This window comes from Homo sapiens, chromosome 16 (genome assembly GCF_000001405.40).
Source record: "Homo sapiens chromosome 16, GRCh38.p14 Primary Assembly".
NCBI classification, from domain to species: Eukaryota; Metazoa; Chordata; class Mammalia; order Primates; family Hominidae; genus Homo; species Homo sapiens.
Genome location: NC_000016.10, coordinates 77,314,217 through 77,339,386, shown reverse-complemented (window position 1 = coordinate 77,339,386; position 25,170 = coordinate 77,314,217). Strand labels below are relative to the sequence as shown.

Sequence of the window (25,170 nt, the reverse complement as noted above, 5' to 3'; positions counted from 1 at the left end):
CTTGATACAACTGCCACACCACGTTATTTTAAAACACCAGGCTATAGTTATATACTGGTGAAAAGCCCTTAAGTGTAATGTCACCCTCAACAGAAAGCATCTTAATAAGTTCCATCCATCATCACTCCCGTGTAATGATTATTACATTCATATACGGTTTCCTCAGATTCTTCCTTCACCAGGGGATATCACTGGCTGCTTGTTAGACTGTAAATTTCATGAGGGCCAGTGCCCTGGTTTTACTTGTTTCATCTGGAGTGTCTGACACACAGTAGCAGGTACTCAATGTTTTGTTTGTTTCTCTGTAACTGGAACCCAACTCTGTCCTTCCTCTTTCTTCTCCAGTCCCTTGTCCTTCAGCGATATTTGTACTGTGAATACTCAGCCAACATGAGGCAGTATGAAAGTCACTTACTTTTTTTTTTTTTTTTTTGAGATGGAGTCTTGCTCTGTCGCCCAGGCTGGAGTGCAGTGGCATGATCTTGGCTCACTGCAGGCTCCATCTCCCGGGTTCACGCCATTCTCCTGCCTCAGCCTCCCGAGTAGCTGGAACTACAGGTGCCCGCCACCACGCCCGGCTAATTTTTTCTATTTTTTATTAGAGATGAGGTTTCACCGTATTAGCCAGGATGCTCTCGGTCTCCTGACCATGTGATCCATCCGCCTTGGCCTCCCAAAGTGCTGGGATTACAGGCCTGAGCCACCGCGCCCGGCCAAGCCACTTACTTTTATCTAGAAATATGTGTGCACGGAAAGAAAGGTTTGTACATGCTGTCTATAAAAAGATAATGGCCTAAGTCATGGCCATTCAATTGGAAATTAGATGTAGTGCCAGAAATATGTATGCTGGGCCTGGACGTGGTGGCTCATGCCTGTAATCTCAGCACTTTGGGGGGCCTCGGCGGGCATATCACTTTAGGCCAGGAGTTCGAGACTACACTGGTCAACATGGTGAAATTCCATCTCTACTAAAAATACAAAAAATTACCTGAGCATGCTGGTGCACGCCAGTAATCCCAGCTACTCCGGAAGCTGAGGCCCAAGAATTACTTAAATCCGGGAGGTGGAGGCTACAGTGTGCCAAGATCGTGCCACTGCACTTCAGCCTGGGTGACAGGGTGATAACCTGTCTAAAAACAACAACAACAACAACAAAGAAAAATATGTATGTATGAAAAGATGGAGCCAGGCGCGGTGGCTCACGCCTATAATCCCAGCACTTTCGGAGGCCAAGGTGGGTGGATCGCCTGATGTCAGGAGTTCAAGACCAGCCTGGCCAACGTGGTGAAACCCTGTCTCTGCTAAAAATACAAAAATTAGCTGGGTGTAGTGGCAGGCGCCTATAATCCCAGCTACTTGGAAGGCTGAGGCAGGAGAATCGCTTGAACCTGGGAGGCGGAGGTTGCAGTGAGCCGAGATCGCACCACTGCATTCCAGCATGGGCAACAAGAGTGAAACTTTGTCAAAAAAAAAAAAAAGAAAAGAAAAGAAAAGATGGATAAAATTACAGGTGTATATATTCTAAATTTGCATTTTCTATGTAGAATTTTACCTATTCATGTGAATGTGTGCAGGTCTGTGTGTACATTCCTTTATATTCCTGATTTCTACACTGATTAAAAGGCCAAATGGAGACAGTGTGATAGCAGCCTAACGTAATACTAGAACAAATACTGAAGTAATAGAACATCAAGTTAATTGAATGACTGGAAGAGATCTAAAAAACACATTTTCCAAAAAGAAATTAGATTAGAATTAAGGTACATTGGTCAGTAATTTGCCTCCAAGATGAGAAGTAGAAGTGTCCTGCTTAGGAGTTCTGGCTACTGAGTTAAATCCAGTCTCTTATACTTGCATAGTTATTTGAATAGATCTGTTTGGGTAGTTTGTGTCACTCTGAGCAAGTTAGCTAGTATTTCTTTGCTAAATTTCTCCTACTGAGGAAAACGGCTTTTAATTCAGTGCTTTGCAAGGATTAGATGAGATACTGCATGTGAAGCTCTCTGCATCATTTTTGGCACATAGAAGCAGCTTGATAACCTGTGGCTGCTGCTGCTGTTACTGTTATTGGCTATTGTAATTTTGTCTCAGCCACTGAACTCAGTCCAGTAGAGTCCTCGTGATTCCCGGTAGAAAAGATGCATGCTTATGGTAGGCAAAATCCTCAAATGACCGATAGCCTTCCCCAAAAACTTCTCAATAGTGTTATATGGTTTCATGCAAACTCTGAAATGGCAATTAATCCAGGGAAAAGAAAAATTAAAAACAGAAGAATTAATCAGCACATGGCAAGAATTTGAAGAAAGGAAGCAATATCTTAACCTAGATAGAGTGCGCTAGCAACCAAGCCACACAGTAAACAGTCATGAAGCCAAATGTATCGCAGGGGATAAGTGAAGATTTGAAAGTCAAACAACCTTCCCATAATTCTGTAACCGATCCCCCAATTCCTCAGCAAAACCTGGCATGGTCCAAACCCCAACCCTTTGGATCTAATTGCAGAGGCTTTTAGAAAAGAGCAGTTATGCTAAGTCATGCAGAACTTTCTCATAATCAAAGCACTGCAGGGGTTGGGGATTGGGGGTAGGCAACAAAAACAAAAAATAAAACAAAAACAAAAGAAACACTACCAGAGGCTAATGCATCCCCTAGGGAGAGATGACCAGCAAAGCCAGGAATTTGTTACAAAAAGGAGAACTAAAATGGAAAGGTTAATACAGAAAAAAGCTCTCCATCTAGCTTGTACAGATCATGGGCAAATGAAAGACCCTGGGCTAATTCATCAAAGACACTGCAAGAGCTCAAAGTCATCAGAGCATCTGAAGTGGGCACCTTTTATGTAGACAAAGGAAAAAGGATGCTATCTGAAGAGAACAATTTGTACAGACTGAGTTGTTCAGCTTTGTAAGAAATGCTCTATAGTGACGGGTTTGGAATAAGCAAAAATATAATGTATGTGTAATTGTATCTATTTTATGATAAGATAATCATTCAGAATGATAAATCGTGTTAATATCTTAACTGTTACTTCATGAATGAGTGATCCCAATTGTTCTTTCAGAATGATAAATTGTGTTAATATCTTAACTGTTTCTTCCTGAATGAGTGATCCGAATTGTTCTTTAAGTAGTGTTGTCTCTCAGTGGCAAGGCAGGCTTCCTTGTAACTTTATACTGACTCCCTTGGCTGTTAGGTGGAATCTTATCTGAACATGTCACCTCCACAGTTCACAAAGCCTATCATACTCAGCCTGTTGGTGAACAATGCCACTTCTCTCTAGATGTCAGCCTTTCAAAATGGATGTGGTCAATGCAGAGTAGTTGAGTGTTTTTAGAGCACAGCAGAGGAATTTATCAAGGTATCAGGCATTTTCCTTTTCTCCCAACAGACCTGTTTTTCCTGTTACTGTGCAGGTGTTGGCAACTCCCTGCGCTTTCCCAGGTGGTCTCTGACGGGAACCATCTTACACGTTCTTTTCACAGTGGTGTCGGCAAGGCCAGTGCGTAAAGTTTGGGGAGCTCGGGCCCCGGCCCATCCACGGCCAGTGGTCCGCCTGGTCGAAGTGGTCAGAATGTTCCCGGACATGTGGTGGAGGAGTCAAGTTCCAGGAGAGACACTGCAATAACCCCAAGTAAGCCTCCAGCAGAAAGTTAGTCTTTGCAAGGCCTTAACCTTCAGCCTGTAACACGCTGGTTTTTCTTGTTCATACTTTAAGTTTATTTTTTTATTTTTAATTATTATGGCTACATAATGGTTATACATATTTATGGGGTACATGTGATGTGTTGATACAACTATACAATGTGGAATGATCAAATCAGCATAATGAGGTATCCATCACTTCAAGCCTTTATTGTTTCTTTATTAAAAAAATTCCAATGTCATTTCTTTATTAGGCCCATTCCACTGTTTTAGTTATTTTAAGATATACAATGAATTGTTAACTATAGTCACCCTATTTGTGCTACTGAATACTAGATCTTACTCATTCTAACTATATTTTTGTACCCATTAACCATGCTGACATTACCATTCTCCCTCCCCACTACCCTTCCCAGCTCTGTCAATGCACTCTCTAGCTCTAGCTCTGTGAGTTCAATTTTTTTTTTTTTTTTTAGCTCTCACATGGGAGAAGATACAATATTTGTCTTTCTCCATTTGGCTTATTTCACTTAATATGATGTCCTCCAGTTCCATTCATGTTGCTGCAAATAACAGGATTTCATTTTTATAATGGCTGAATAGTATTAAATAGGATTCATAGTATTAAGTAGGATTAATACTATCATAATAGGCTGAATACCATTAATTCAAATAATACTATTATACTACATTATATATAATTACTATTAATATATAGTATATATACTACTATATACTATTAATATACAGTATATATACTACTATATACTATAATATACAGTATATATACTACTATATACTATAAAATACAGTATATATACTATATACTATAATGTACAGTATATATACTGTATATTATAATATATAGTGCATATACTGTACATTATAGTATATTATATATACTGTATACTATAGTATATAGTATATATACTGTATACTATAGTATATAGTATATTTACTGTATACTATAGTATATATACTGTATACTATAGTATACAGTATATATACTATAGTATATAGTAGTATACTATAGTATACAGTATATATATACTATATATATATACTATAGTATATGCACTATATACAGTATATAGTGTATATACACTATATACTATAGTATATATACTATATACTATAGTAGTATATATATACTATATACTATAATATATACTATATATACTACTATATAATATATACTATAATATCCAGTATATATACTATATAATATATACTATAATATACAGTATATATACTATATAATATATACTATAATATACAGTATATATACTATATAATATATACTATAATATACAGTATATATACTATATAATATATACTATAATATACAGTATATATATAATATATATACTATATATAATATAAATATGTAGTATATATAATAGTATAATATATGTAGTATTATTTATACTTTATATTATATATAGCATATATACTATATATTATATATAATATATAACACTATATATTATATGTAATATATAACACTATATATTATATATAATATATAACACTGTATATTATATGTAATATATAACACTATATATTATATATAATATATAACACTGTATATTATATATAATATATAACACTATATATTATATATAATATATAACACTATATATTATATATAATATATAACACTGTATATTATATATAGCATATATAGCACTGTATATTATATATAGCATATATTGCACTGTATATTATATATAGCATATATTGCACTGTATATTATATATAGCATATATGACACTATATTATATATAGTATATATGACACTATATATTACAGTATTTATATTTAGTATATAGGACACTATATATTATACTATTAATATACTAATATACTATATATAATATAGTATAATAGTATACTATATTATACTATTAATATATACTATTAATATATAGTATCTGTACTATACTATCTAGCAGCATTAGTAGGATGAATGGATAAAGAAAACATGGCACACTGTTCAATTATGGATATGTGCCATATTTTCTTTACTTATTCATCCACTGAGGGACTCTTAGGTTACTTCCATGTCTTGGTTATTGTGAATAATGCTGAATTGAACATGGGAATACAGATATCTCTATACACTGATTTCCCTTCTTTGGGGTATTCCTTCCTTTTGGGATTTTTTTGGGATGGCTTTTAGTTTTTTGAGGAACCACCGTGCTGATTTACATTCCCACCAACAGAACACACTGTTTTATTTTTTTTTTTTTGGTATTTCTTTTTTCATTATTATTTTACTTTAAGTTCCAAGATACATGTGCAGAATGTGCAGGTTTGTTATATAGGTATATAGCGCCATGGTGGTTTGCTGCACCTATCAACCCATCATCTAAGCTTTAAGCCCCACGTGCATTAGGTATTTGTTGTAAAGCTCTCCCTCCCCTTGCTCCCCACCATGCGACAGGCCCTAGTGTGAGAAAACACTGTTTTAAAGTGCCATTTTCTTCCCTCCGGTTAGTAACAATCAACCAGAGTTTTACTGTTTGCATATAAAGTCCATGTGCACCGAGGGAAGGTATGGTGGGCAGAAACCAAAACACAGCAGAGGAGTCATTCTCTACGGGACTGTGATGATCCAGTAAGACTCTGAGCTACTCTGTTCATCTAAACTAGGGTTCTACAGTCATATAATTAAATACTTGTGCTATCGTAGAACAGAAAAGTTTGGCCGGCAAACCTTGTGAGTGTCTCTCAAACTGGTGAACTGCAGAAAGTATGCTGATTTGCCTTGCAGGAATGTACATCAACACGTGTTGACAGATCTGCCTGACTTTTCAAGAGAAACCAGAAATACGGAAAAATGCTGATGTGAAATTTCCCAATTTTAAAAATATTGACAGCAAATTCAATTTTCTTCAAACACAGAAAGTCCCACTGTGACAACTAGTCAAATCAGCTGTGGATTGCAATTGGCCTGTGGTCACCTGTGGGCACTCTTTGGTCTGGTCATACTGGAGTCTGAACTGCAGTTTGTGCTCTGTGCACATGAAGGTGGTTTTATGTTACTTTTATATGCTCTAACTCCCACATGAAACATGTGTGAGATGTAGATTTTCCAGTTGGCAGAATGATGTAGACAGAGCCCAGATTTTGGCGATAGATAGAAAGACTCTAAACCCTGTGTCTGCCACTTCTAAACTCTGTGGCTTTGTAAAAGTCATTTGACTTGGGTTTATGTATAAAAAAATGTAGAAGATAACCTTGGAAGGTTGGAGGAGGATTAGAAATTGCATCTTTAGAATGCCTGACAGACTGGGGAACATTCAGTGGGCATTCACCAAAAGGTTCTGGGATCTGTGTGGTTTTCATCATCCTCATCCCAAGCTCACCAGGAGGACGGGGTCACAGAGGGTCAGCCCACCGAAGCAGGGTGGAGAGGCAGAGCCTTTACTGACGAAACTGACTTTTGAAGAATGTGATGGAGTGAGAAGAATGTGATGGAAACTTGGAAAACAGATTTAATTTACAACATAATTTAAGTTGGTAGCATAGTGCAGAGGATGAGAACATAGACTCTGAAGTTTGACAGACCATTTCTGCATCCTGACCCTAACACTTCTGATCTATGACCACAGACAACTTAGTCTTCCTGCTCCAGATTCCTCACTTATAAAAACGGGATAACGATAGTACCTATGTCAACTGAGTTAACATTTGTGAAGTGCTTTAGAAGAGGGTCTGACATGTCATTAGCATTGCGTAACTATTTGGTGAATTGAGAAATAATGACACTAGAGCAAAAGGACATTTTAAAAAAGATGAATGGTACTTCATTTGAGTCAGCAGTCTGAGTTAGATAAAAATTCTATTTTTTCCCCAAAATATAAAGCAGAGTTTGGAGACACTTTGCCCATCACGTGTTAGGTGCTGCTTCGAATATCGCAGGCTAAAATAGAGCTTTTCAATGTCAGCACTATTGACATGGGCTGGCAAATTCTTTGTTTTGGAGATTTGTCCTGTACATGGTAAGATGTCTAGCAGCATCCCTGCCCTTGACCTACTAGTACCAGTAGGATGCACTCTTCTTCCCACCACCCACCAAACTGTGACAACCAAAAATGTCTCCAGACATTGCCAAATGTCCTATATGGGACAAAATAATCTCTGATTGGGACTCACAGATGTAATCAGGCCCAGTGACTGAATATAATGATAAGGAGGCTGGTGATGCATTTGCAACTTATACCAGGTTATTGTTTTAATAACAGTATTAAAACAATGATGTTGTTTTAGTATCTCCTGGTTTAAGCAGGAGGGTAGTTATTTAACCTCCTGATACTTTGAATGCAGCCATGTCTTAAGTTGAGTTGTTAAAATCATCATATTACTTTACATTTGTGAAGTATAGTTCATGGATCTGGTTTTCATCCATTACAACATTTTACAATCTCAATATTTTCCCAAGAAAGACATAGATTACCTAATTCAATAGCTCTGCTGGTAAAGTGCATGAATGATGCCCCTGAGATTTAAATTAAAACCTCTCTCATATCTGTAGGATTGAGAGCTCTCATTATAATAGGGCATTGTTCATGGAAACAACATATTGTAATTTAGAGATGCCTAATAGAATAATTAATCACTAAAGTATTTTCATTCAGTGCAGTTTTATCATTTAAAACAAGATGAAAAATAAATCAGGATACTGTTTACTTTAACTCTGCATGAAGCCATAAATAAAACAAGTAGATGATAGGCTCTCCCAAGACAACTGAATTAATTGTTCTGTCTCTGTTCTTATTTCACTCTGTTGCAGTAATGCTGTTTTTTCTCCCTATTTCAAGTTATGGATTTCTTTCTTGCTTCAGTTTAAGCATTTGGTTCTATTCACATCACTCAGTGTAGCCATTTTCATTGTCTCATCCGAGAAGCAGTGTGAGGTTTCTGTTTCATATAAAGGTGTTTTTCCCAGAACAGACTTTATTTCTTGAAAAATGAATGATTCTTGGCTGATTCATAGATTTACCAGTTTTTTTTTGTTGACTGCTATCTGGCTCTGGAATGGCCAATGCCAGGCACACAGGGACATCCTTTGTCCCATGTAAGTGGTAAATAGTTTTAACTGACGGAAGCCCTGTTTTTCATTGAGCCCTCCTATGCCTCAGGGACCTTCCCAATGTCCTTCTTCAGGCATTTGTTCTCAATCGGGTTAGAACTGACACGTGAGTTGAAACCTGCTGCCTAATCCAATTATTTCACAGATGAGTAACCAGGGGAGGAAGAGGGCCCCATTCACGGTAGCAACTCTTGCTCAAGTCCCCATGCTGGTAATGGCAGAGTCAGATTAAGTTCCCATAGTCTTAATCCTTTGACATTTTTCATTTTTTCTGGTTCCTTGTTTGTTAAACTATCACCCCATAAGGGATCCTAGTGAAATTCCTATAAACTCTCCAAGAAAATTATTAGTGATATGCTAAGGTGTTCTAGAACTTTTCTAAAACCTGAGTCTATTTGAGAAAGAATTGTCTGCTAACTCTAACACAACTTAGCTCATGGAGTTAGGAGGAAAATCATGGCCCCAGAAGAATAATTGAATCTAATTGGTGGTGTATTTTCCCACCAGTAATATCACGGCTCAGCTGGTTATCAGAATCACCAGGTGTGTTTTTAAAAATACTGATTTCTGAATCTTCCATATCTCATATTCTTATTGAGAAAGTGGGTGGAGGTCCTCAGGAATCTGTATATGTATATAGTTTAACAGAGCTCTCCAAGTGATTCTAATACTCTTCCAAGCAACACCATTGTAACTATTTGTAGTCAGGACTTGATAAATGATGCAGAAGCAAATGATGGTATGCTCTTTATAGTTGTCTAATATAAGGACAAAATCATGTGCCTAGGTTTTTGTTTTCTATTTCTATATTTCTTTTTAATATTAAACAACTTCTTACACCAAGACATATCATGATAGAATTGTCTGTTAGGCTAACACTTATGTTCAAAGCTGCAGAAAAATATTGCCTATATTTTTATGGAAATGGCCAAATGCTTGCTAGCAATTACTTTTGATCACTTTGACCATATCCCATAATTAAAAATGAAATGTATTAGTATATAAAAATCAGATCACATAATACTCAGCACAGGGTGGGTACTCAATACAAAAGCATAAGGCATTTAAAAATAGTTATAATTTATTTATTCTGACTCTGCCCTAGATACTGCCCTACATTCTTTACAAAGGTTGGATCAGTTAATTGTCACAACTGTTCCTATTTTGCAAATGAGGAGGTTAAATAAGATCACCTAAATTTAAGCTGGGAGGAGGCAGAGAATACTGTATTTAAATCAGGGTCTGGCCATGTTTGATGGATCATGCTTGTAATTCCAGCACTTGGGAAGGCCAAGGCAGAAGGATTGCTTGAGGCCAGGAGTTTGAGACCAGCCTGGGCAACACAGCCCCTCATCTGTATAAAAATTTTAAAAATTTGCCAGGCATGGTGGCACATGCCTGTAGTCCTAACTACTCAGGAGGCTGAGGCAGGAGGATTACTTGAGTTCAGGAATTTGAGGCTGCAGTGAGCCATGATTGTGCCAGTTCACTCCAGCCTGGGTGATAGAGCAAGACTCTGTCTCAAAATTAAAAAAAAAAAAAGAGAGAATCTCCCTCATTGTAAAAGGCCAGCTCCCTAAACATTGCACCTTACTGTCTATTCTTTCTTTCCATACCCGGCCCCATGGCCTAAGAACTCAGTTAAATGCAGGCATAGTTAAGTATGAAAAAAATCCTGGACTGAGTCCACAGGCCTGAGCTTGAGCTCGTCTCTGTTTCTTTCTAGCTGTGTGACCCTCTTTCAACAAGTTTTGTAAGCTCTTGTCAGCTGGTTCTCACTTCATCTATGAAAGGAGGACAATGGCTGTATGAATTTGGTGGTCTTTTCCACGTTACAAGTTCTATAAGTCGATAAAGTAACACCTTGCAGTCCTCTTTCACTTCATTAACTACATAGAGCCCAAATGAGGTTTATTCGTTAAATCACAGAAAGTCTTAAACTGAGAAATTAGTTTTAAATATGCCTTGTAAAGATGACCGGAATATTGAGGCTATGATATAGCACTTAAAGATTTTTCTAAGTGCTTTTCAGATAATCATTTAAGAAGTCTTCAGGGATTTGATTTATCACAATGGCTGCAGCATGTTTAAGTAGTTGCTCCAGAGTGTTTTAAAATAGCATAAAAATCTCATTCTGGCCGCGTGACATTTCCCGTTTCTGTTGAATCCATTTTAGCGTGCAGTTATAGGAGGATGGGATAAATTAATTACGCTGAAGCAACTCCAGGGCTGTTTTAGAGCATGCTTGTGCCTCCTAAAGAGACAAGGAATTTTAATCACATAAATTTATTAACCTGGAGCCGCCTTTCATGTTATACAAGATGATCCATAGTTGAGTTTTGGCCTTCAGAGAAAACCTCAAAATGGGAGGAGTGACAAGAAGCCACATCTTTGTGCACGGAGTAAGCTGGGTACGATGTTATGCGTAATTTTCAATGTGGTGGTGCTCTTTTTCCTTTATTTTGCTTTCTGGTTTTTGCAGATTAGAATCTGCCTACCAAGATCTTAAAGAGCTTGCCTTTACATCGTCATTATTTATGTTCTAATGGAATTGTCTACTCTGGAAATCCATTTCCCATTGTGCTTGGCAGGAAAGGAGTAGGCCACCTGCAAAGCTGAAAAGTGACTATGCTGATGAAAACAAGAGAATGTTTTCCCTCTGGTTTCAGAATCAATCAGAAGAAACACACAACAGTCATATTATACTCAAAATATCTCTATGACTGACAGCTGGATTGGGGAGAGCAGCAAATGGTGCTTTCTGTTCCTTCTCCCCAGTGTGCTGACGTTCTATGTAATAGGTGCATGGCAAAGTGTGGGAAGATACTGAGAGTATTAGGAAATGGGAGAAAGCTGGAGAGGTAGCTTGGGTCCATGTTTGAACAGCTTCTGATGCCAAGAGATAGGGTATGTGCATGTAGCAGACGAGCACACATATACAGTAAAAGAACATTTAGGTGTGTTTACAGATTTCCTTAACACAGGGGCTAATATGATGAGGGTCAGGAATATCCCTTCAGTTAGAATAACGGTCTCCAGTTTTATCCAGGTTGCTGTGAATGCCATTATTTCATTACTTTTTTACGGCTGGGTAGTAGTCCATGGTCTATATACACCACATTTTCTTTACTCGTTGATTGATGGGCATTTGGGCTGGTTCCATATTTTTGCAATTGCAAATTGTGCTGCCATAAACTCAGGAATGGAAAACCAAACATTGTATGTTCTCATTCATATGTGGGAGCTAAGGTATGAGGATGCAAAGGCATAAGAATGATACATTGGACTTTGGGAACTCAAGGGAAAGGGTAGGGGGTGGCAAGGGATAAAAGACTACACAATGGGTCCAGGGTACACTGATCGGGTGAGGGGTGCACAAAAATCTCAGAAATGACTACTAAAGAACTTTTTTATGTAACCAAACAACCTATTGAAATAAAAAAATCAAAAATTAAAAAATTGTTCTACCATAAAGACACATGCAGGTATATGTTCATTGTAGCACTAGTCGTGATAGCAAAGGCATGGAATCAACCTGAATGCCCATCAACAGCAGACTGGATAAAGAAATGTGGTACATATGCACCATGGAATACTATGCAGCCAAAACAAAAGAATGAGATCATGTCCTTTGCTGTCAGATGGATAGAGCTGGAGGTCATTCTTGTAAGCCAACTAAGGCGGGAACAGAAAACCAAATGTCACATATTCTTCCTTATAAGTGGGAGCTAAACATTGAGTACATATGGACCCAAAGATTGAGAGTGGAGGGTTGGAGGAGGAAGAGGATTGAAAAACTACATATCAGATATTATGCTTATTACCTGGGTGATGAAACAGTCTGTATACCAAACCCCTGCGAGACGCAATTTAACTGTATAACAAAACTTTACATGTACCCCTGAACCTAAAATAAAAGTTTTAAAAAATTTAAAAAATTTAAAAACAAAAGAATATCCTTTCAGGCTGGGTGCATTGGTTCACACCTGTAATCCCCACACTTTGGGAGCCTGATGGGGGTGGATCACTTGAACCGAGGAGTTTGAGACTGGCCTGGGCAACATGGCGAAACCACATCTCAACAAAAAGTACAAGAATTAGCCAGGTGTAGTGGTGCATGCCTCCAGTCCCAGCTACTTGGGAGGCTGAGGTAGGAGGCTAACCTGAGCCAGAGAGGTGGAGGCAGCAGTGAGCCAAGATCACGCCACTGCATTCCAGACTGGGCAACAGTGTGAGACCCTATCTCAAAAATAATAATAAAATAAAAAGTAAAACTTCTTTCATCAGTGTTTAAGGAAATGAACAGAATGTAAATATTGGATTGGTGATGGCAAATAAATTTGATTTAGCATGCCAATTTTAATGAGTGAACAGTGGTAATGAAAAGAACTAGAAAAAAATCCCCTGATTGATTAGTTATGTCTAGCCTAGATTCAAGAAGGAAGGTGTTAAGTTGTATGCTATGTACTTCCATTCCTGTAATAGACTGTATGCCTTTGCATACACTGTGGCAGTGCTCATCTTCATTGCCTCTCTTCATATTATTGCATGTGACTAATAATGAGCCCTTTGATTACTAACATTAAAGTTCATTAATTTCATTTTCAGGCCTCAGTATGGTGGCTTATTCTGTCCAGGTTCTAGCCGTATTTATCAGCTGTGCAATATTAACCCTTGCAATGAAAATAGCTTGGATTTTCGGGCTCAACAGTGTGCAGAATATAACAGCAAACCTTTCCGTGGATGGTTCTACCAGTGGAAACCCTATACAAAAGTGGAAGGTAATTTGGTCTCTATGACATTCAAATAAGTCTCTATGTGGATAATAATGTGATTGACCAATACAGAAGAAATTGCTGCTTGTATCAAAGAGTTTGAATGTTTACCTTTCACTCCCCAGACCCATCCTGGCTCAGTGTTTCATTCCATGGGTTTTGTTTATTTTTCCACTGTTGTTTTTTTTTTTTTCCCCCTATAAGATACCTCTTGTCTCCCACATCTGTAAACCCAAGGTTTCATATGTTTGGAATGAACTCATGTTTCTCAACTTACCTTTGACATTTTGGCAATTAAGTCTCCCAGGGATCTTAATTGAAATTGGTATGAACTGTCCAGACCAAAAACTCATGAAACCATATATACCCCATAGAGGCACCGTACACAGTAACTGACATGTCAGTTGATTACAAGCATGGGAAGGCCTGTGTGTAGAGTGTGTGCATGCACGCAGACACACACACAGAATCATAAATAAAAATTATACTAGGTTCTTGGTACTTACTATACTTAAAGTTATGGCTTATATTTTACTTTTTAAATTAATGTGTCTTTATTTTGACTGAATAATAAAACATTAGTTACAGCAGAAGAGTTTAATGTAGTTGCTCTTACCTATGTAGAATAAGCTGTCATCATCCTAGTTGTTTCATTACTTCCATCCATTAGATTTATCAAAACTGTTACGCTGTCTTGAAACAGGGTTATATGTGAATCCCAACTGCCCATGTGTAGAATGGAAAGAGACTAAGTTTAATGACAATCCATGGGCTGTTCTGTGCAAAAGCGCAACATGAACCTATATTAATCAGTGATCATAAAGGAAGCTAATATAATTACAGGCATCACTATAACAAGTAGAGCCTCCAAATCGAAAGAGAGGATTGTGCAGCTTTGCTCAGTATCAGCCTAGCCATTTCAGGAGCACTGATGTGGTTTTGGGTCATGACTGTTTGCCAGGAAGTATAGATAGAGACAGACATGACAATTCCAAAGCTGTGTCTTAGGAGGAAGTAATGAGGTACCTATAGAGGTTTACTGTACATGAGAAACGACTTACATTCAAAACTTCAAAGAGCTATTGAATAGGAAGGATGTTCAATTTATTTCAAATTGCTTTAGATAACAGAATTAATTCAAGGGCTGAGAACATTCTAGCCATATTGTCTCCTCAGAGAGACCTTCCTTAACAGCCTGTCAACATATTCTTCCTTCATATTGTTTTCTGAACCCTTTACCCCGTTTTATTCTTCATAGCTCTTCTCAGTGCATGGATGTATTTTTATGTGGTCATTTATCTGTTATCTTCCTCCCCACAAGAATTTAGGTTCCACAAGGACTAAGCCTTTGTCTATCTTGAGCTTGCTTATATCTCCAGCATCCAAGAACAGCACTTGGTATATATTTATGTAATGGTTATAACTTTTGAAATGAATGAATAAGTAAATAAATATTAACTGTCCAAAATGAAAATATACTCCCTCTGTAAGTAACAAGGTCCCCATCACTAGAGGCATTCTACCAGGAGCTGAGTGATTTCGTAGGAAGCATGCTGCACAGCAGGTCCCAGCGGATGCTGCAGTTGCTTCCTATTCCAGACTTGGAAGATTTCCTTTCTGTTGGTTGTATACTCTTGAGGTCCCATGCTTCCTACCTGTGGTTCTTTCTCCATGACTCTGTTGTCCCTCCTTTTACTTCCTCTTCTGTTCTTTGCTTTTGGTTTGGCTTCGTGGATATTCCTTGGCCTTTATCACATTACATCTTTCATTCAAACATAGTGTTTATGAAATCAGTCCTGTTATCGCCCTTAAAGAAATTCTGTGTTGAAGATATAAGGAGAAAGTTAAACAAATAAATTTTGCAATTTAGAAAATGCTTGCTGGTGTCAAAGTTCTTTCACTAATTTTATTGCAGTTTCCACTGAGTAGGGAGCATGCAATTTCATTCATGCATGCAACAGATGTTTACTGAACTCTTTTTGTGTAGGAGACACTTTGCTAGATGCAGAGCAGAATGCACTGAATCAAACATAGACTCCCTGCCTTAGGATCTTACCTCTCAGTGGAGGGAGACAGAAACGTTAAGGCTTTCTAGTCTCTCCTTGTCTCCTTTTGATACTTATATCAGAGGAGACTGACCATGACTTGAATGTCTTGTGACATTCCTGCAATTTAGAAGAACAAGGGAAGACTTTTTCATAAATGTGGACAATCTCTGTGCTACAGGAGTGAGGTTTTTTCCCGTCTTTCCTCTGTGTTTTTAATGGACTCATAAACTCACCCAGGAATCTGTGCTTTTAAAAAAAAAAAAAAAGGAACTTTCTAAAACTTGTTAATTTCTGGAAATGATAGAGAAAAGAAAGGGCATATATGTCATCCAACTCCCTAATCTCATGTGCAAAAATTACGCATTAAATAAAGCTGCTATTAAAAAAAATTATAGATGGGAGAGAACCTTTTAACCCACCCACGCATGTGCATATTTGGACTGTGATAATTTAACTCCTTTCACGTTTGAGTTTTTAGTTTGTCTTTTATTGAGAGGTTTTATGAAGCACAACTATTTGCAAACTGTTTACACGTTTGTAAAACTGTTGTTAGGGATATCGCTCAATATCACCCACAGAAGGTCTCCTGTGAGAAACGTTATCTGGAATTCCTGGCCAAGAAGAGCTCTTTCTATTTGAGAAATTGGCATAGGAACTCCTTTCTGATAACAAGAGCTCTATAAATATAATTTTTTTTTAATTTTTGCCTTTGATATCAGAAACATCTCAGGGACTTAAGGGCCAAGAGAAGTTACCTTTTTGTAGCCTTCAGGACGAGTTTATTTGCTTTCTCTTCATTTTTATGACATGGTTTTTTTTCTCTATATGTTTTACAAACATGACTAACCGTATGCCTTTTCTCCCTGGTGCCTGAAACCTTTTCTCTTAACAGACTGAGTAAATATCTAAAGTAATCCATGCTCTAAATCAGGGTCATCAAACTATGGGCTGCTGGCCAAATCTGGTGTGTATTTGTTTCATCAGATTTTATTAGAACACAGCCACACTACTTCATTTCTGTATTGTCAGTGGCTGACCATCAGGCCTTTGAAACCTGAAAGGTTTACTATCCAGGGAGGCTGGATAGTAACCCATCGATCATGTGTATGGTGACTATCCCTAAGGATGAGAAAAATAAAATTGTTACGTATTACTCTTAAATTAGTTTTATATGGATTGTTACATGGGACTCATGCTTCGAAAGCCACATCATATGGGCTTATATGTGCAAACACACACATTTTCCATATTCATCATGATAGCTTTCTAAGTAAATTTAATTCATTCTTTTGACAATCCTATCATTTTTCCTTAGTTTCCTCTTGACCATTTCCTATCTTGATCTCTTTGTTTCTAGAGGAAGATCGATGCAAACTGTACTGCAAGGCTGAGAACTTTGAATTTTTTTTTGCAATGTCCGGCAAAGTGAAAGATGGAACTCCCTGCTCCCCAAACAAAAATGATGTTTGTATTGACGGGGTTTGTGAAGTAAGAGAACGTTTCTGCTTTGGAGTGTATGAGCATGCTTGTGTTTTATCATATCGTGTGTACCGTGAACAGTGGTGTGAGAGATTGTGTGTCTGGAGAAGAGCAGGTGGCATGGAGCGAAAGAGCAAAGTGTTTCACTGGATTCGAGCACCATATCTTTTTTTTTTTTTTTTTTTTTTTTGAGATGAAATTTCACTCTGTCACCCAGGCTGGAGTGCAATGGTGCGATCTTAGCTCACTGTAACCTCTGCCTCCTGGGTTCAAGTGATTCTCCTGCCTCAGCCTCCTGAGTAGCTGGGATTACAGGTGCATGCCACCACACCTGGCTAATTTTGTATTTTTAGTAGAGACGGGATTTCGCCATGTTGGCCCGACTGGTCTTGAACTCCTGACTTCAGGTGATCTGCCCGCTTCAGCCTCCCAAAGTGCTGGGATTATAGGCGTGAGCCACCACGCCTGGCCGAGCACCATATCTACGTTCCTCATTTACTTGTTGCATGAGCCTTGTCCAATTATTTTAGTTTATTTTTTACTCTACTTGCACATATATAGAATGGAGATGATGCTATATCCTGCTTTGCACAGGAGTTGTAAAAATGAAATAAGAATGTAAATAATAAACTTTTATTGCATGTGTACTAAGTACCTTTACTATATGATTAGAATCTCACAAATGTATTTTGAAATACTATTTTTCCCCAGTTATTTTTCCTTTCACTTTGAGTGCTCATTTTCTCTTCCATTTTAATTTTAGTTTGAGCCCTTTGATCTTTTAAGGGTGTATGTTTGTACACATGCATGCATGTGTATTGTCCAGCATTTTCATATTTGAGTTACACAGCTGGCCTGAATAATCTCAGCTGGTATTAGTAGCAATAGTGACTTTTTATTCCAGTTTCATTGATGAAGAGTCTAAGCCTTAGATGAGTTATACAACTTGCTCAGTCATCTAATAATGTCAGGGGAGGGATTTGAACCCCAAGTGAGTCCAACTTGAGGCTGTGATTTTTAACCATAAGCTGTACTGCTTCCCTAATGTTCTGTAAATACAGAGAACCATATACCTCTTAATTATTCCCAGCCTCTGGCTTCTCTGATCTTTTATTTTCTCACGTTTTTTGTTTTTGTCACAGCTAGTGGGATGTGATCATGAACTAGGCTCTAAAGCAGTTTCAGATGCTTGTGGCGTTTGCAAAGGTGATAATTCAACTTGCAAGTTTTATAAAGGCCTGTACCTCAACCAGCATAAAGCAAATGGTGAGAGATGCTGCTGTTTGTTATTGTTAATGAGATACAACTTTTGCTACCAAACAAGTTTGAGTCACGCCAAATGTGGTTGAGCCTTTTACTAGTTCACTGGACACACTAGTGATGGTGGCATTTTTCACTTGTGCAAGAGTAAGGGAGATAGTTGTGAGGAATTTCGTCGATACATTACCTCGTAGAAACATGCCAAATAAATGCCTTTCTGCTTTGCATTTTTAGTATGCCGACCAGGCCCCATGTATGTCCAAGTGCATTTGTTAAGCAAAGAAACATTGTGAAACTTATGTGATCTCTACTCACAGTGCTAAATGAATATTTGAAGCAGTTATCTAAATATGTTGAGTGAAATTAAACTTTTGATCCCTGTTTTCTGAATTTCATCACTGAAGATACATGGTTCTAAGCTTCTTCCAGACAGATTTTTTTTTTTTGAGACAGAGTCTTGCTCTGTCACCCAGGCTGGAGTGCAGTAGTGTGATCTCAGCTCACTGCAACCTCCACATCCCAGGTTCAAGCAATTCTCCTGCCTCACCCTCTTGAGTAGCTGGGATTACAGGCACCTGCCACCATGTCCAGCTAATTTTTGTATTTTTAGTAAAGGTAGGGTTTCACCACACTGGCCAGGCTGGTCTCAAACTCCTGACCTTGGGTGATCCGCCCACTTTGGTCTTAGATTTTTGAAAAGTCTTCTTGAATTTTGTGGCCTTTTGTGGTCTGGGAAGGAGAAGAGTGTATTTGTTCTCCACAGAAAACATAGTTGGAAGGCTTTGGGAAGCCACATACATTTTCTCTAGTGTTCTTACTATTTGGACAATGAAATCATTGATCATGTTTACTTCATAGAGTAAGAATGAATTTAGATAATGATTTAAAAACCTCACTCTATAAAACTGAACACTACATGTCGGGCCATTTCTAGTCCCTTTTCTCCAATGCATGGGGTGGAATTCAGACATGTTCTCTTCTTTCCATTTAGAATATTATCCGGTGGTCCTCATTCCAGCTGGCGCCCGAAGCATCGAAATCCAGGAGCTGCAGGTTTCCTCCAGTTACCTCGCAGTTCGAAGCCTCAGTCAAAAGTATTACCTCACCGGGGGCTGGAGCATCGACTGGCCTGGGGAGTTCCCCTTCGCTGGGACCACGTTTGAATACCAGCGCTCTTTCAACCGCCCGGAACGTCTGTACGCGCCAGGGCCCACAAATGAGACGCTGGTCTTTGAAGTAAGCCCCTTCTGTGTATTCAGTTCTCAGTGCTTCTTGCTACATTTATATCGTTGACTGCAATTTGAGCCAGAACTCCAGTCCTTCTAGTTCAAAGGTGTTTCCTGGCCGGGCATGGTGGCTCATGCCTGTAATCCCAGCACTTTGGGAGGCTGAGGTGGGCGGATCAGCTGAGGGCAGGAGTTGGAGACCACCCTAGCCAACGTGGTGAAAACCCATCTCTATTAAAAATACAAAAATTAGCCAGGTGTGGTGGCACGCGCCTGTAATCCCAGCTATTAGTGGGGGCTGAGGCGGGAGAATTGCTTGAACCTAGGAGGCGGAAGTTGCAGTGAGCCAAGATGTGCCACTGCACTCCAGCCTGGGCAACAGAGCAAGACTGTTTCAAAACAACAACAACAACAAAAGGTGTTTCCTAATAGGCTAAATTTCAAAGTGTAAAGGGGAGAAGACAGTGATTCCATTTGGGGGAAGAGGACAGGAACCCAAATGGCCTCCAAGAGAATGGGTTGATTTTCATATTTAGAGGTCAACCTTTCACCAATATGCTTGGGTTTCAAGAACGCCAAAGAATGTAGCAAGAATACTTTTTATATTATGCTGGTTTGTCTATGTCTGCCATTTGGATGCTCCATTGTAGCTATTCATAACATAGGTCAACTGGCCTAGGAGAAGGGGTTAATAGTAGAGAAAATGCTTGCCTGGGTGTCAGCAGAGTTTCATCATACTAAACTACCATGATTTTGTAGTTTGTAGCTTCCCCACAGGTAAGAAAAGGGAAAAAAGGTAAAAAAAATGATAATTAAAAGAACCAACATATCTGGAAATGACTCTGCAAGGCTGTTATCATAGAAACATTTTCTTTAGTCCTCATGATGTCTCTGAGTGCTTTTTCTCCATTTGTAAAATGGGGCTGACTGTTGGCTCTTACAAGCAAGCGATTTGCTTCAGTTTGTATAGAAATGATACTGAGCACTTGCATATCCAGCTACTCTTAGGAGTCATGTTAAGTTTCAGTTTGTTACCTGTGAAACTAAGGTAGAAAATGGACTTCACTAACCAGAAAAATAAGGAATCAAGTGTGAAAAAAAAAGATTAAAAGACTTGCCTATCTCATACAGCTAGGGAAAAAAACAGAGCTGAACTGGAGTCAGAGTCTTTTCCACCCAGGAGTATGAGATCTATGTAACACTCAGATTACTGTTCTCTTCTCAAATAAACACAGGATCAGTGTAACTGTTATTATTATTATCGTTGTTATCATGACTGTAATAGAGTAGGTTCAGGCATTCTGTGATCAGTTTCATGCATTCATTTCCTGAATGCCCACAACCACCTTAGGAAGGTAGGTATTGTTACTTAATCCCCATTGTACAGATGAGAAAACCGAGCCTTAAACAGACTGTGTTACATGTAAGTGGTAGGACTGAGGTTTGAACGTAAGTCTTCCTGGCTCACTTGGCCACACCATTATCTTAATATAGCACCAATACTGGCAAGGCTCAGCTACTTGTCATTATATGGTTTTTCTCATTGTGAAATGGTTGCCTCTGTGGGAGGTACAAAGCCTACTAGAGGTGGGAAATAGATAGTTTGCTCTTTGGAGACATCTGTCATCCAGATTTGAATGCATAAAACACTGAGAACATACCCATGTATTTTGACCAATACTGACATAGATCTGTGGTAACTAGAGGGTTGATCTGAAAACTGACTATTAGGAAGATTGTGTTCATAAACTTGTCCGATGATTTTTACTTAAAATAATTTATTTTCCTCTATCTTATATATGTTAATTCACATAAGACTATTGGCACTTACTGTGTTCTTGGTGCTGAGGAAAGCGACATAGTGCTTGTTTTCTGGGCTGACAGCATGCTGTGTCCTCAATCATCTCAGGGTATTTTGGTCAGATTAGTGATGAATAAGGCAATTTTTCAGAGGTAGCTACTTCTTCTGTCTAAACTGAAGCACTCAATTTATCATCTTTCTCAGTTCCATGCACAGCGGGCCTGGATAATTCTTTGAACAAATACCGTGCTACCATGATATTGGTAATGACCTTCTGCAGCTCACAGTGGTTCATGGGGAAAGCAATAGAAATGAATTTCTCTTACCCAGTGTGTGGGAGTTTGTGTTCTGTGTGTTGAGTTATGGTGGGTGAAATTAGATGACATCTTGAAATTTCCCTCATGGATTCTTAGATTTGCTAGAACTTCAGAAAGCAGAATAGTGAAAATGTCCACACATTAGGAAATCACCCGAGGCAGGTGGATCACTTGAGGCCAGGAGTTCGAGACCAGCTGGGCCAACGTGGCGGAACCCCATCTCTACTAAAAATACAAAAATTAGCTGGGTGTGGTGGCGCATGCCTGTAATCCCAGCTAGTCGGGAGGCTGAGGCAGGAGAATCACTTGAACCTGGGAGGCACAGGTTGCAGTGAGCCGAGATTGCATCACTGCACTCTAGCCTGGGCAAAAGAGTGAGTGAGACTCCATCTCAAACAAAAGAAATCACTGCGTTCCTCTGTGTCACATGCACTGAGCTGCTCTTGAGTTTCACATTGACAGTAAACTGGGTATAGAGTAGTGGATAAACAGAAAAGAAAATCCTCCTGCTATAATGAAACTTAGAGTGTTGGAGGGTACAGTACAGCACTACACAAATGAATATATAAATGAAGGCAGATGTACAGATTGTGGTAGGTTCTTTGAGAGAAAATAAAGTATGAGATAAAAAAACAGACTTTTTGAATTAGAGAGTTGGTGAGGAATTATCTGAGAATTACCATGTGAGGTGAAACTTGAAGGATGAGAAGACCCAACCAGGTAAAGAGCAGAGGAAATTCACGCGGAGGAAGCAACAATTTAAAACTCCATGTGGGCTGGGTATGGTGGCTCACCCCTGTAATCCCAGCACTTTGGGATGCTGAGGTAGGTGGATTGCTTGAGACCAGGAGTATGAGACCAGACTGGCCTACATGGTGAAGTCCTGTTTCTACTAAAACAAAAATTAGCCAGGCGTGGTGGTGCATGCCTGTAGTCCCAGCTACTTGGGAGGATGAGGCAGGAGAATCATTTGAGCTTGGGAGGCAGAGGCTGCAATAAGCCGAGATCGCACCACTGCACTCCAGCCTGGGTGGCAGAGTGAGACTCTCTCCAAATAAATAAATAAAACCTGATGTGGAGAATCAACTTAATATTTTATAAGAACTAAAAAATAGGAGAATCTAGCTATAGTGTAGTCAGAAAAGAAAGTATTGAGGTGTGAGATGGGTATAGTCAGGGGGTGGCCCACACATAATACAAACCATGGTAAGGAGTTTGGATTTCATCCCATTAACAACATCAGGATGTCAAGGAAGAGGGTGGTTTACACCATCCTGGCCAATATGGTGAAACCTCATCTCTACTGAAAAATACAAAAATTAGCTGGGTATGGTGGCGCATGCCTATAGTCCCAGCTACTCAACAGGCTGAGGCAGAAGAAGCACTTGAACCCAGGAGGCAGAGGTTGCAGTGAGCCGAGATTGCACTACTGCACTCCAGCCTGGCATCACAGCGAGACTCTGTCTCAAAAAAAAAAAAAATTCAACCAGGCTGCTATGTAAATAAGTGATTGGAGAGGCAAGAAGTAAACTGGGGAAATAGGAAAATGGTTCTTGAATTCCAGGTAAGGAGTAATAGACGCTGAAACAGATGGTGACTGTGAAGGTGGCAGGAAGTGGATCTGTTTGCAGTGTATTATGGTAGAGAACTGGAAGCTAGAAAAGTTACTAGACATGTATAAGAAATGAACTCTGAGGGAGAAAGATGTGAGAGAGTCTCAGGTTTCTTCCCTGAGCATCTGGAGGATGGTTTTACCACTATCATTGTCTTGAGGATGACTGGAAACAGGTTTAGGGATGGGGAAAAATTCCATTTTAGCCACCATATATTTGCAATGTACCTTAGATATTCAAGAGTAGCTGTCAAGTAGGCGGTTGAGTGTGTGTTTAAAATGCATGAAAAAAGCCTTGGAATGAATATGCAAATCAGTTCCTAAAAATACCTAAAGTGTAGTATAGTAGTATATCATTTGTTAACTGAGCAGGGCACTTGGATCCAAGTTTTCTTTGATAAGCTGCCTCTTGGGAGTAGCCAAATAATTGCAATATCCAGAATGTGCCTTGTGAAGAAATGTTGAGCCTTGGTTGACACCACCAATAAAGAGGAGCATGCACCTGTCACGGAGAGGCGTGCTTGTGCTGGAAACAGGATCTTCACAGATATCATGGAATTTGTATATAGATGCAAATCTCTCATCACGCTGGCATCTTGTCATGTATTTTTGCCCTGCACCTGCACACCCACAGGCGTGAGTGGAGATGCCCTCATTCATGGCAACAGGGATGGCATCCTAGCTGTTCTTCCTGCTGTTGCTCCAATCGTATATGTTTCTATCCAGATTTTAAGGTATTTAAAATCCGTCTGAATCTCATACGCAAGAGCTATGCAAATTCAGTTTACAATAGGCTTTGCTACTTTATTCCCTTGATGACATTTGAGACCCTCTGTGGAGGCAATCAGAGAAACCCACTAAGTGCCAGTTTCATAGTTTTAAGACCATGCAATCTATTATTCAGATTTCAAAAGCATCGCATTTTCCATAATGTCAAAGGACTATTAGTAGATGATACAGAAATTTTTTTTTAGGCCATGATGGTAGAAAATGAAGGATTAGTCTCCAAGAGTAGTGATTAAGTAGCACTAGCCTTAAATATTTACTAAGGAAGAACAGTAGCAGACAGTTAAAAATAAAACACATAACCTTAAATTCCAAGATGTTCTACACACAGAATGGCTGAGAGTACAGACTCTTAACTAGCTACATAACTTAGGCAAGTTTCTTAATCTCTGTGTCACTTAATGTCTATATTTGTAAAATGGGCAAACAATACCAGCTAATTATTAGGGCCATGATGAGGATAACTGAAGATAAGTTCAGTGCCTACAAAATACTTAGCCCATAATGTTAATTACTATTGCCATTATTTTGCCTTCTGAGCATATCACATATATTTTATATATATATATATATATATATATATATATATGAAACCTGAGACCATATTTAGCAAACTGGTGATCACAAGTCAAGTTCAGCCTTAGGCCCGCACTATCTATCAATCGTATGTATATATGTACATATATATATATACACACACACACACATACACACACATTTTTTTTTTTTTGAGACAGAGTTTTGCTCTTGTTGCCCAGGCTGGAGTGCAATGGCACAATCTTGGCTCACTGCAACCTCCGCCTACTGGGTCCAAGCGATTCTTCTGCCTCAGCCTCCCAAGTAGCTGGGATTACAGGCGTGCACTACCATGCCCAGCTAATTTTGTATATGTTTTTTAGTAGAGATGGGGTTTCACCATGTTGGTCACGCTGGTCTGGAACTCCTGACCTCAAGTAATCCACCCGCCTCGGCCTCCCAAAGTGCTGGGATTACTGGTGTGCACCACGCCCAGCCATGTATAATATTAAAATGGAGAAAATAGATTAAAGCTTTAATATCAGGTGACTTATACATATGAATTTTTGAAACTCTTAAGAAAACCTCTAGTCCCAGGAGATACTTGAGT

General features: G+C 38.8%; 1 protein-coding gene across 4 annotated transcripts in view; it reads left to right on the top strand.

The window, feature by feature from the left end:
* ADAMTS18 (ADAM metallopeptidase with thrombospondin type 1 motif 18) overlaps window positions 1-25,170 on the top strand; it is a 152,907-nt gene that overhangs the window by 95,648 nt on the left and 32,089 nt on the right. For all 4 annotated transcript variants that reach the window (NM_199355.4, NM_001326358.2, XM_047433672.1 and 1 more), the window contains 5 exons: window positions 3,483-3,631; window positions 13,349-13,521; window positions 16,921-17,051; window positions 18,185-18,308; window positions 19,294-19,538. In NM_199355.4, the coding sequence (NP_955387.1) occupies window positions 3,483-3,631; window positions 13,349-13,521; window positions 16,921-17,051; window positions 18,185-18,308; window positions 19,294-19,538 (822 nt within the window). The remainder of the gene's footprint in view (window positions 1-3,482; window positions 3,632-13,348; window positions 13,522-16,920; window positions 17,052-18,184; window positions 18,309-19,293; window positions 19,539-25,170) is intronic.